At 36.4% G+C, this 13,148-nt stretch overlaps 1 protein-coding gene across 61 annotated transcripts in view; it reads left to right on the forward strand.

The window, feature by feature from the left end:
• CEP63 (centrosomal protein 63) overlaps positions 1-13,148 on the forward strand; it is a 296,836-nt gene that overhangs the window by 6,650 nt on the left and 277,038 nt on the right. For 43 of the 61 annotated variants that reach the window (NR_148355.1, XR_007095732.1, XR_002959589.2 and 40 more), the window contains 1 exon segment: positions 2,923-2,991. Coding sequence is in view for 38 of the 61 variants with exons in the window: in XM_024453768.2 (XP_024309536.1) it covers positions 2,923-2,991 (69 nt within the window). In the remaining 23 variants the exon portion in view is untranslated. 61 annotated transcript variants of the gene reach the window in all.

Raw genomic sequence — 13,148 nt, forward strand, 5'->3', positions numbered from 1 at the left:
TAGGAAAAGAATCAGTGATATAACTATGAGCAACTCAGATGACAAACATCCACAGAAAATCAGCCCTTACTATTTGCCTGATCCTGAGAATTGATGGTGTTTGGCACCAGGCAGATGGTGAAGGTATTACAGAAACACTTTGCACATTAGTAAGTTTACTTTATTTCTCACATAGGATATTACTGGTCCACTTCCCTCCTTTTTTTTTTTTTTTTTAAACAGGAATCTCTATCTTAGACCATTTTGATTTCTAAAATAGCAATATTTCTTATGTGACTATTTCATTATTGTGCTGCTGCCACCTGGTGGCCACAGTAGTGATGTCATACTTCAGTTTAATTTCTTTTTTTATTGCAAAGACACTATTAAGCCAAAAGATAGGCTGATATATTTTAAGATATAGAATACTGTAAAATATATAAAGGTTGCACATCGATTGTGACTCAATTGATTGCCACAATGTCTAGGTTGAATCCAGGACTATAATTTTTAGTTTATCATAGTCAAGTTATTTAACTCTCTAAGCCTGTTTTCTCAAAGTAATAGTATCTGTCTTTTATGAGTATAGTGAAGATTGATTTAGACAATGTGTACAAGGCAGCTGTTGAACATTCAGTAACTTAACTTCTAAGTATATTATTAAATAGTCATAGAAAATATATTAATGTATATTACTAAATATATTAATGTTTAAGAATAACATGACCTAAATAAGTATAATTTTACTAATGATAATTTTGAATAACTGTGATAGCACTGTCAATAAGAATAGCACTTTCCTACATGTTAGTTAAGTATCCGTGTATGGTTGTCAGGAGCATGCTACTTACAGTGGACATTTAATTGGCTGTTAGAACCCATGAAAAAGCTGGAAGAAACCTTAGAGAATATTGTTCATGCCCCTCATTTTGCAGATGTTAAAACAAGTCCGAGAATATAAAGCTAGTTAGTTGCAGAGTAGGACTGTATCCTGGGTCTCCATCTAGTGTGGTGTGGACCGTGTACTGCCTCCCAGTTCTCCTAGAGTGGACCAAAACATGGAATCTTGGTTGCATTGTAGTTGGACTGTATTGTGATTTGAAAGTGGAGTAAAACATGGGAACCTTTTTCTTTAGGTTTTTATTTTTGCAATTTTGGTGTAATATGTAGGATAAACCAACTAGAAAAAAAATCCTCCCTGTCACGTTTGTGCACAAATAATTTAATACTCAGTTTGTTAGTATCTTTAAAAATAGATGCAAATAAGGTGCAGTGGTTCTATTTTCCAGTCTTCTCATTCTCCTCTGTGTCTCTGGAACACCCTGGGCATGTCTCTCACTATATTTATCACACTGGGAAAGCCTTTTTGGCTCATTTTTTTCTGTCCCATACTAGACTATTAATACCTTGAAAGGGGCCATATCTTTCATCACTATATATCTAGTTGTTAGTACAACATTGAATTACGTGTTGAGTAAAATAATCTACTTCTTACAGCAGTATAATTTTTAGATGAGGATTAGCCCAGGGGCAGAACCTCTACACCACAGTCTGGTTATTGTCTTAAGGGTTTAAGGAAAAAGCATTTTGGAATGAAAAGTGGTTTGACATTGAACATTTTGAAGATTTATTATAAAAGGCGAGAAGCATACACATATTAATCAACACTACTGAGTTTAAGGGTCCTCTTTCCTTTCTCACTGTCACCTTTCTTCATGGTGTATCTTACCCTTTATTTTATATTTATTTATTTATTTATTTATTTATTTATTTATTTATTTGAGATGGAATCTCTGTCTGCCACCCAGGCTGTAGTGCAATGGTGTGATCTCGGATCACTGCAACCTCCGCCTCCCGACTTCAAGCGATTTTCCTACCTCAGCCTCCCCATGGCTGGAACTACAGGTGCATGCCACCATGCCCAGCTAATTTTTTTTTTTTTTGGTAGAGGCGGAGTTTTACCATGTTGGCCAGGCTGGTCTCAAACTCCTGACCTCAGGTGATCCGCCTCCCTCGGCCTCCCAAGTTCTAGGATTACAGGCGTGAGCCACCGCACCCAACTGTATCTTGCTGTTTATATGGCAGTCTTCTATCTCCCGTTCCCTCTTTCTCTGCTAGACCCTTCATGTAGTTCCCCAGCTGTGACCAGTTTGCATGGGGGAGAGGGTAGGTAAAAGAGGGAGGGGAGTTAAGTTCAGCCAAAATAATCTGCCACGTGCCATGTTGAAATGCTGCGTTGAGCTCTGCAGCTGCAGAGATGAATAAAATTGGGTTTCTGCCCTGGAGGGATGAATAGTCTAGTAAGGAAAAATAGTATGTAAAAAACTCACTTCCAGTGTGGTGCAACTCCTATGAAAGAACGTATTAAGCACTGGGAGCAAATGAAGTGCAGAGGTGGGAGGGCCCTGTGGCTGCCTTTCGGTGGAGAGAGGATGTTGCATGCAGGAAGCTCTATGAGCCTGTCTTCAGGAGTGAGTAGGCTTTCCCATGATAGACCAAAGAGTTTAATCTCAGTACACTTCGCATTTTTTATACTATCTCTTTAATTTTTAAAAAGCTATACTTTCCCTCTGACATGTGTGAACCCATTTCTTTCTCATTTTGTTAAGGGAGTTTGTGTATCCGTCTGCTAGAGAGATCCCACCTCCACCCCTGCTCACCCGACATTAGGAATTAGGCAAAGAACAATGAGATATTTGATATTTACACGGAGAGAGTGTCAACCGCAATTCAGATATTTTTAAGTTATTCTGTTTTAGTCCGAAATAGTTTGTTCCTAGTATTCCTGAAGTGATGTTCTTTGACTGCTTCTACAGTCATCTTAAGAAGTGCTGCATTTTTTCATTATTATGTATGCTTTCATTCACATTCTTAAGTTGTAAGTTAGAATGTTAGAACTGAAGAAATGAATTGTCTCATGACTGATATTTTTTTCTTTGTCAGTTGCCAAAACAAAGGGGATTTGGTGATGGAGGCTTTGTTAGAAGGAATACAAAATCGAGGGCATGGTGGGTAAGTTTGCTTTTTTTAAAATTAATTTTTTTGGTTAATACATGATTACATATTTATAGGGTTCACATGATACTTTGATACATACATATAATGTGTAATGATCAAATAAGGGTATTTAGTATACCTATCAGCTCAAGCATTTATCATTTTTTGTGTTGGGAACATTTCAATTCTTCTAGCTACTTTGAAATATATAGTAAATTTTTAAAGTTTAAGGAACCTTACTGTGCTAGTCACCCGACTGTGCTAATTACTTAACTAGTTACATACTAGTTACTTAGTAGTCACCTTACTGTGCTATTTAACACTAGAGCTTACTCTTCTACCTAACTGTATGGTTTGTACCCATTAACCAAACATTCTTCACCCCCAACCCCTTCCCAGCCTCTGGTAACCATCGTTCTACTCTCTACCTCCATGAGGTGAACTTTTTTAGACCCCACATATGAATGAGAACATGAGATATTTGTCTTTCTGTGCCTATTATTTCACTTAACGACCACCAGTTTTATCCATGTTGCTGCAAATAACAGGGCTTCATTCTTTTTTATGGCTGAATAGTATTCCATGATGGATATATTTCTGACATTTTCTTTATCCATTAATCTGCTGTTGGACACTCAAGTCAATTCCATATCTTGGTTATTGTGAATAATGCTGCAATAAACATGGGGGTACAAGTATCCCTTTCACATACTGATTTCCTTTCCTTTGGATAGATTACCCAATAGTGTGCTTTCTGAATCATATGTGTTGTGAGTGGTGCAAAGTCAGACATAACCAGGTCCATACATGTTTGTGTCTTTTCTACAAGAGCAAACTTTTATTGATGCTATTTCAGTCATAAAAGCCACAAGCTACATGGAGTTCCCAAGGAGGCATTTCCCCCTAGTACTACCAGTTCACTCAATAGTCAGAGCCATGGGCATACAGGCTCAAGCCTCTCCACAAGTCAGTCAGTATTGCAAACCATACATAATAGTGTATTAATATATGTAAATGTTGCAGTGTAAACATTCCACATCAAACAAAGTAACATTTAACAGGAGAAAAGGATAGAAAAAAAAGGGGGGGGGGGCTAAAGAACTAGTCCAAAGAGAACAACTGGACAAAGAGAATATTCTGGCCTGATCTGGACGGTTGTCAACATTCTTGCAAGGAGGAGCCTTTGGTGACAGATGCCAGGTGCTGATCACAAGTGACAGCCAGACAGGCTGTTATCAAGACAGCTGTTTTGAGCTGGTAAAGTCTTGCTCTTTTTGTGGCCACAGAATCTTCTGGTGATAACTGATAGTGAAATATTGTGCCTGTTTATGTCATTATCTGATTGAGTGCAGTCTTTATTGATAAGGTGAACATCGGGTCCCTGTGGGCATGATGTCTTTTGAAATGTGAGATGCAATCTCTTTCTAAAATGGAGTTACTTATGTTAAGGGTGCTATATACAATATGGTAGTTCTATTTTTAGTTTTTTAGAAAACTCCATTTAGTTTTCCATAATGGCTGTACTAATTTTACATTCTCACCAACAGCATATGAGAGTTCCCTTTTGTCCACATCCCCCCCAGCATTTGTTATATTTTGTCTTTTTGATAATCATTCTAACTGGGGTGAGATGAATCATTGTGGTTTTCACTTGCATTTTCCTGGTGATTTAGTGGTGTCGACCATTTTTTCATACACCTTTTGGCCATTTGTATGTCTTCTTTAGAGAAATGTCTATTCAAATCCTTTGCCCACATTTTAATAGGGTTTTTTGTTTTTTTGCTGTTGAGTTGTTTTTCTTGTATATTCTGGATGTTTAGTCCCTTGTTGAATGAATAGTTTGCAAATATTTTCTCCCATTCTACAAGTTGTCTTTGACTCTATTGTTTCCTTTGCCGTGCAAAAACTTTTTAGTTTAACTAGGTCCCAATTGTCGGTTTTTGTTTTGGTTGCCTGTGCTTTTGAAGTCTTAACCATAAAATCTTTGCCTTGACCAGTGTACTGAAGCATTTCCTCTATATTTTCTTTTTGTTTTTTTAGAGACGGGTGTCTCATTCTGTTGTGCAGGCTGGAGTACAGCAGCACAGTCGTAGCTCACTGTAGCCTCAAACTCCTGGGTTCAAGTGATCCGCCTGCTTCAGTGTCCCAAGTATCTGGGACCATAGGCATGTCATCTGGCTAATTTAAGAAGGTTTTTTTTTTAAGAGATGAGATCTCATTGTGTTGCTCAAGCAGTTCTTGAACTCCTGGCCTCAAGTGATCCTCCTGCCTCAGCCTCCTGAGTAGTTGGGATCACAGGCATCAGCCACTGTACCCAATCCCTATGTTTTCTTCTAGTAGTTTTATAGTTTTGGGTCTTACATTTAAGTCTTTAGTCCATTTTGAGTTGATTTTTTTTTTAATATGGTGAGAGATAGGGGTCTAGTTTCATTTTTCTGCATGTGAATATCAATTTTTTCCAGCACCATTTATTGAATAGGGCGTCCTTTTCCCATTGTATGTTATTGGCACCTTTGTTGAAAATCAGTGGGCTGTAAATACAATTTCTGGGTTGTCTATTCTGTTCCGTTGGTGTATGTTTCTGCTTTTATACTAATACCATGCTATTTTGGTTATTATAGCTTGGTAGTATATTTTGAAGTCAGGTAGTGTGATACCTCCAGTTTTGTTCCTTTTGATCAAGATTCCTTTGGCTATTCAGGGCCTTTTATGGTTCGGTGTGAATTTTAGTATTATTTTTTCTATTTCTGTGAAGCATGTCATAGGTATTTTGATAGAGATTGCATTGAATCTGTGGATAGATTTGGATATAATCATTTGAATATATTAATTCTTCTGACCCATGGGCATGAATGTCTTTTCATTTGTATCTTCAATTTCCTTCATTAGTGTTTCATAGTTTTCTTTGTAGAGGTCTTTTATGTCCTTGGTTAAATTTAATCCTAGGTATTTTTTTTTTCTGGTAGCTATTGTAAATGGGATTGCTTTTTTGATTTCTCTTTCAGCTAGTTCATTATTGGTGTATAGAAACATTACTGATTTTTGTATGTTGATTTTGTATTCTGCAACTTTACTGAATTTCTTTATCAGTTCTAAGACTTTTTTGGTGGAGTCTTTAGGTTTTTCTGTATGTCAGATTATGTTGTACACAAAGAGCAACAATTTGACTTCCTCCTTTCCAATTTGGATGCCTCTATTTCTTTTTCTTGCCTGATTGCTCTGACTAGGACTTTCAGTTATGTGTTGAATGGGAGTGGTGGAAGTGGGCATCCTTGTTGTGTTCAGGTTCTTAGAGGAAGGGCTTTCAGCTTTTCCCCATCCAGTATAATGATACCTGGGGAGCTGTCTTATATGGCCTTTATTATGTTGAGGTATGTTCCTTCTATGCTTGAGAGTTTTTATCATGGAGAGATGTTGAATTTTATCAAGTGCTTTTTCTGTATCTGTTGAGATGATCATATGGTTTTTGTCTTTCATTCTGTTGATGTGATGTATCACTTTTATTGATTTGTATATGTTGCATACCTGGGATAAATCCCACTTGATCATGCTGTATTATCTTTCTGTTCTGTTGTTGGATTTGGTTGGCTAGTATTTTGTTGAAGATTTTTGCATCTGTGTTCATCAGGGATATTGGCATGTAGTTGTCTTCTTTTGTTGTGTCCTTGTCTGCTTTTGTCATCAGAGTAAAGGTGGCCTTGTAGAATGAGTTAGGAAAATTTTTCTCGCCTTCAATTTTTTTGGAATACTTTGAGAAGAATTGATGTTCTTCTTTATGAAGTTGGTAGAATTCAGCAGTAATGCCATCAGGTCCTGGGCTTTTCTCTCTTGGGAGACTTTTTATTCCTGGTTCAGTCATGTTACTCATTATTGGTCTTTTCAGGTTTTCTAATTCTTCCGAGTTCAATCTTGGTAGGAATTTATTTCCTCTAGGTGTTCCTATTTGTTAGCATATAGTTGTTTGTAATAATCTCTAATGACCCTTTGTATTTCTGTGGTTATCAGTTGTAATATTGCCTTTTCTGTTTCTGATTTTATTTATTTGGGTCTTCTCTTTTTTCTTGGTTAGTCTAGCTAATGGTTTATCGATTTTGTCTTTTTAAAAAACCAACTTTTTGTTTCATTGATTCTTTGTATTGTTTTTTAGTCTCTATTTTGTTTATTTCTGATCTGATCTTTGTTATTTTTTTCCTTCTGCTAATTGGGTTTTGTTTGTTCTTGCTTTGCTACTCGAAGTGCATCGTTAGGTTGTTTATTTGAAGTCTTTGTACTGTTTTTATTTTTTAGATTCAGGGGTACATGTGCTGGTTTGTTAAATGGGTGTATTGTGTGATGCTGAAGCTTGGGCTTGTATGTATCCTATCATCCAAAGAATGAACATAGTACACAATAGATAGTTTTTCAGCCTTTGCCCACCCTCTGCCCTTGCCTTCTTTTGGAGTCTCCAGTGTCTGTTGTTCCCATCTTCATCTTTTTTTTTTTTTTTTTTTTTGAGATGGAGTCTCGCTCTGTTGCCCAGGCTGGAGTGCAGTAGCATGATCTTGGCTCACTGCAACCTCTGTCTTCTGGGTTCAAGTGAGTCTCCTGTCTCAGCCTTGCAAGTAGCTGGGATTACAGGCACACACCACCATGCCCAGCTAATTTTTTTGTATTTTTGGTAGAGATGGGATTTCGCCATGTTGGCCAGGCTGGTCTCGAACTCCTGATCTCAAGTGATCCCCCCGCCTCAGCCTCCCAAAGTGCTGGGATTACAGGTGTGAGCCACCATGCCTGGCTTATTATTCCCATCTTGATGTCTGTGTGTACTCAATGTTTAGCTTCCACTTGCAAATGAAAACATGCAGTATTTGGTTCTCTGCTTCTGTGTTAATTTGCTTAGGATAATAGCCTGCAGCTGCATCCACATTGCTGCAAAGAACATTTTGTTTTTCTTTTATGGCTGTGTAGTATTCCATGGTGTATATGTACTACATTTTCTTTATCCAGTCCACCATCAATGGGTACATAGGTTGGTTTCATGTCTGCTATTGTGATTGGTGTTGCGATGAACATGTGAGCGCATGTGTCTTTTTGGTAGAATTATTTATTTTCCTTCGAGTATATACCTGGTAATGGAATTGCTGAATCGATTGGTAGTCTCATTCTATTTTTAGTTATTTGAGAAATCTCCAAACTGCTTTCCACAGGGGTTGAACTAATTTACATTCCCACCAACGGTGTTGCCTTTTCTCCACCGCCTCACCAACATCTGTTATTTTTTGACTTTTTAATAATAGCCATTCTGACTGGTATGAGGTGGTATCTCATTTTGGTTTTGATTTGCATTTCTCTGATGATTAGTGATGTTGAACATTTTTCAAGTTCCTTGTAGTTTATGGATATTAGCCCTTTGTTGGATGCATGGTTTGCAAATACGTTCTCTCATTCTGTAAGTTGTCAGTTCGCTCTGTCGGTAGTTTTTTTTTCTGTGCAGAAGCTCTTTAGTTAGGTCCCAATTGTCAATTTTTGTTTTTATTGCATTTGCTTTTGAGGACATATCTTTTTGAGTCATAAATTCTCTGCCTAGGCCAGTGTCCAGAAGAGTATTTCCTAGATTTTTCTCCTAGGATTCTTATAGTTTGAGATCTTACATTTAAATCTAATCCATCTTGAATTAATTTTTGCATATGGTGAGGAAGTGTAGGGGTTGAGTTTCATTCTTCATACAAGTAGCCAGTTTTCCCAGCACCATTTATTGAACAGAGTATCCTTTCTCCATTGTTTGTTTTTGTCAGCTTTGTTGAAGATCAGTTCATTGTAAGCGTGTAGCTTTATTTCTGGTTCTCTGTTTTGTTCCATTGGTCTATGTGTCCATTTTTGTACCAGTATCATGCTGTTTTGGTTACTATAGCATTGTAGTGTAAAGCAAGGCAATATGATGCCTCTAGCTTTGTTCTTCTTGCATAGGGTTGCTTTGGCTATTTGGGCTCTTTTTTGGTTCCATATGAATTTTAAAATAGTTTTTTTCTAATTCTGTGAAGAATGACAGTAATTTGATAGGAATTGTATTGAATCTATAGGTTGCTTTGGGCAGGACGGCCGTTTTAACTGTATAAATTCTTCTAATCCATGAGCATGGAATGTTTTTCTATTTGTTTATGTCATCTGTGATTTCTTTCAGCAGTGTTTTGTAATTCTTTTTGTAGAGGTTTTTCACCTCTGTAGTTAGATGTATTCTTAGATTTTTTTTTATGTGTGGCTATTGTAAATGGGATTGTGTTCTTGATTCAGTACTCAGCTTGGACGTTATTGCTGTATAGAAATGCTGCTGATTTTTGTACATTGATTTTGTATTCTGAAACTTTACTGAAGCTTGTTTATCAGGTCTAGGAACATTTTGGTAAATCTTTAGGGTTTTCTAGGTAAAGAATCATATCATCAGCAAAGATAGATAATTTGACTTTTTCTTTTCCTATTTGAATACCTTTTATTTCTTTCTCTTGCCTGGTTGCTCTGGCTAGGACATCAAGTACTAGGTTGAGTAGGAGTGGCAAGAGAGGACATCCTTGTCATGTCCCAGGTGTCAAGGGGAATGCTTTTAACTTTTGCCTATTCAGTATGATATTGGCTGTGGGTTTGTCATAGATGGCTCTTACTATTTTGAGGTCGGTTCCTTCGATGCCTAGTTTGTTGAGGGCTTTTAACGTGAAGGGATATTAAGTTTTATTGAATGCTTTTTCTGCGTCTATTGAGGTGATCATATGGTTTTTGTTTTTAATTCTGTTTATGTGATGAATCACATTTATTGATTTTTGCCTATGTTGAACCATCCTTGCATCCCAGGAATAAAGCCCACTTGATTGTGATGGATTATCTTTTTGATGTGCTGCTGGATTCAGTTTGTATTTTGTTGAGGATTTTTGCATCTATGTTCATTAGGGATATTGGTCTGTAGTTTTTTTTTGTTTCATCTTTGCCAGATTTTGGTATCAGGGTGATGTTGGTTTCATAGAATGAGTTAGAGATGGATCCCTGCTCCTCAATGTTTTGGAATAGTTTCAGTAGTGGTACTACCTCTTATTTATATGTCTGGTAGAATTTGGCTGTGAATCCATCTGGTCTGGGGCTTCTTTAGTTGGTAGGCTTTTTATTACTGATTTAATTTTATAACTCGTTATTAATCTATCGAGGATTTCTCTTTCTCCCTGTTTCAATTCTGGGAGGTTGTGTGTTTCCAGGAATTTTTCCATTTCCTCTAGATTTTCTAGCCTGTGTGCATACAGATGTTCATAGTAGTCTGTGAGGATCTTTTGTACTTCTATGGGATTGGTTGTAATGTCACCTTTGTCATTTCTGATTGTACTTATTTGGATCTTCCTTTTTTTTGGTGATTTAGCTAGCAGTCTATCAATCTTGTTATCAACTGTTTATTTCATTTGTTTTGGTCTCAATTTTGTTTATTTCTGCTCTGATTTTAGTTACTTCTTTTTTTCTGCTGGCTTTGGGTTTAGTTCTTATTTTTCTAGTTCCTTTAGGTGTGACATTACATTGTTTTAGGTTGTTAACTTGAGATCTTAATGTAGGTGTTTAGAGCTGTAAACTTTCCTCTTAACATGGCAAAGAATTTTTTCATATCTGCCTTTGTTTACCCAAAAGCCATTCAAGAGCAAGTTGTTTAGTTTCCATGTATTTTTGTGGTTTTGAGAATTCCTCCTGGTATTCTTATTTTTATTGCACTGTGGTCTGAGAAGATACTTGGTGTGATTTCAATCTTTTTTTTTTTTTTTTTTTTGTCTTTGTGCTGTTTTGATGTAGGCATCTATTGCTATAAACACTCCTCTTAGCACTGCCTTTGCTGTATCCCATAGGTTTTGGTATGTTGTATTTTCATTTTCATTTGTTTCAAGACATTTTTGCATTTCTTTTTTAATTTCTTCACTGACCCAGTGGTCATTCAGGAGCATGCTGCTTAATTTCCATGTATTTGTGCAGTTTCCAAAGTTTCTCTTAATCTTGATTTTTAGCTTTTGTCCATTGTGGTCTAAGATACTTGATATGATTTTGATTTTAAAAAATTTGTTGAAACTTGTTTTGTGGCCTAACATATGGTCTATCCTGGAGAATGTTCTGTGTGCTAAAGAATGTGTATTCTGCAGCTGTTACATGAAATGTTCTATAAATGTCTTTAGGTCTCTTTGGTCTGTAGTGTAGAACAAACTGGATGTTTCTTTGTTGATTTTCTGTCTAAATCACTTGTCCAGTGCTCAAAGTGGGGTACCGAAGTCCCCAATTATTATTGTATTGGAGTCTGTCTCTCTTTAGCTCTAATAATATTTGCTTCATATGTCTGTGTGCTCTGGTGTTGGATGTATGTATATTTACAGCTGTAATATCTTGTTGCTGAATTGATCCCTTTTCATTATATAATGACCTTCTTTGTCAGTTTTTATGTTTATATGACTTAAAGTCTATTTTGTGTGATATAGGAATAACTACTCCTGCATGTTTTTGGTTTCCCATCTCTTCATTTTCAGTTTATGCGTGTCTTTACAGATGAAGTGAGCTTCTTTTAGGTAGCACATAGTTAGGTCTTGCTTTTTATAGAGATATTCAGCCATTCTATATCTTTTAATTGGGGAATTTAAACCATTTACATTCAGGGTTGTTATAGATAGGTGAGGACTTAACTCTTGTCGTTTTGTTAATTGCTTTCTGGTGGTCTTGTATATCCTTTGTTCCTTTCTTCTTCCTTTATTGTTTACCTGTGTAATTTGGTCTCTCTCTCTTTTTTTTTTTTAGTGATAATGTTTGATGCCTTTCTCTTTCTCATTTGTGTTTCTCCTCCACGAGTGAGTCTTATACTTTTTGTGTGTTTTCACGATAGTAGATATCATCCTTTTGCCTCATGATGTAGGAATCCCATATGCATTTTTTGTAGGGCTGGTCTAGTGATGATGAATTATCTCAGTTTTTGCTTGTCTGGGAAAAACTTTATTTCTCCTTCATTTTTGAAGGATGGCTCTGTTGGGTATAGTATTCTTAGACACCAGTTTTATTTGTTTTCTTTTAACACTTTGAATATATCGCCCCATTCTCTCCTGGTCTGTAAGGTTTCTGCTGAGAAATCTGCTGTTAGTCTGATGGCAATATCCTTATATGTGAGGAACTCACAGAACATCTGACATTTTTCTCTTGCTGTTTCAGAGTTCTTTGTCTTTGACTTTTGACAGTTTGACTATAATGTGCCTTAGAGAAGACCTTTTTAGGTTGAATCTATTTGGGGATATTTGAGCTTCCTTTATTTGGATATCTATATCTTTTGCAAGAATTGGGAAGTTTTCAGCTATTATTTTGTTAAATTGGTTTTCTGTACCTATGCCATCTTTTCTCTTGCTGGAATAGCAAGAATTTGGATATTTGATCACTTTATGGTCTCCCATATGCCATGTAGGCTTTCTTTTTTCTTTTTTATTCTTTATTCTTTTGTTGTTTTTGTTGTTGTCTCATGGGGTTATTTCAAAAGGTCCATCTTCAAGTTCAGAAATTCTCGTACTTGTTTTTACTCTGTTGTTGAAACTCAATTGCATTTTTAAATTTCATTTATTGAATTCTTCAGTTTCAGGATTTCTGTTTGGCTCTTTTTAATGATATCCATCTCTGTTGAATTTCTCTTTCAGAACATAAATTGTTTTCCCGATTTATTTTTATTATCTGTGTTTTCTTCTATCTCACTGAGTTTATTTAATAACATTATTTTGAATTCTTTTATAGGCATTTCATACATTTCCTTTTCTTTGGGATCTGTTACCAGAGAATTATTGTGTTCCTTTGAGGTGTCCTTTTTCTTTCCTTTTTCATTTTTCTTGTGTCCTTGTGTTGATTTCTGTGTATCTGGTATAATAGTCACTTCTTCCAATTATATGGATTGGCTTTCATAGGGAAAATTTTTTTCATATAGGTGTATCTATAGTGTTGGTTGGGTAGGGTGCTTTTGATTTGATTCTCAGTGGGTGCAAGAGTGTAGTTTCTATGATTTTTCCAGCCATAATCAGTATCAGTGGTTTCTGTGAGTTTTTCAGTGACTTGGACTGTGATTGTCAGTGGAGGCTATAGCAAGGCTCTGCTGGGGTAGGGACACCAGGCAGACTGGTCATCACGTACCAGACAGTGATGCCAGTGGCAGGCAGGATGGG

The sequence above is a fragment of the Homo sapiens genome, chromosome 3 (assembly GCF_000001405.40).
Source record: "Homo sapiens chromosome 3, GRCh38.p14 Primary Assembly".
Lineage (NCBI taxonomy): Eukaryota > Metazoa > Chordata > Mammalia > Primates > Hominidae > Homo > Homo sapiens.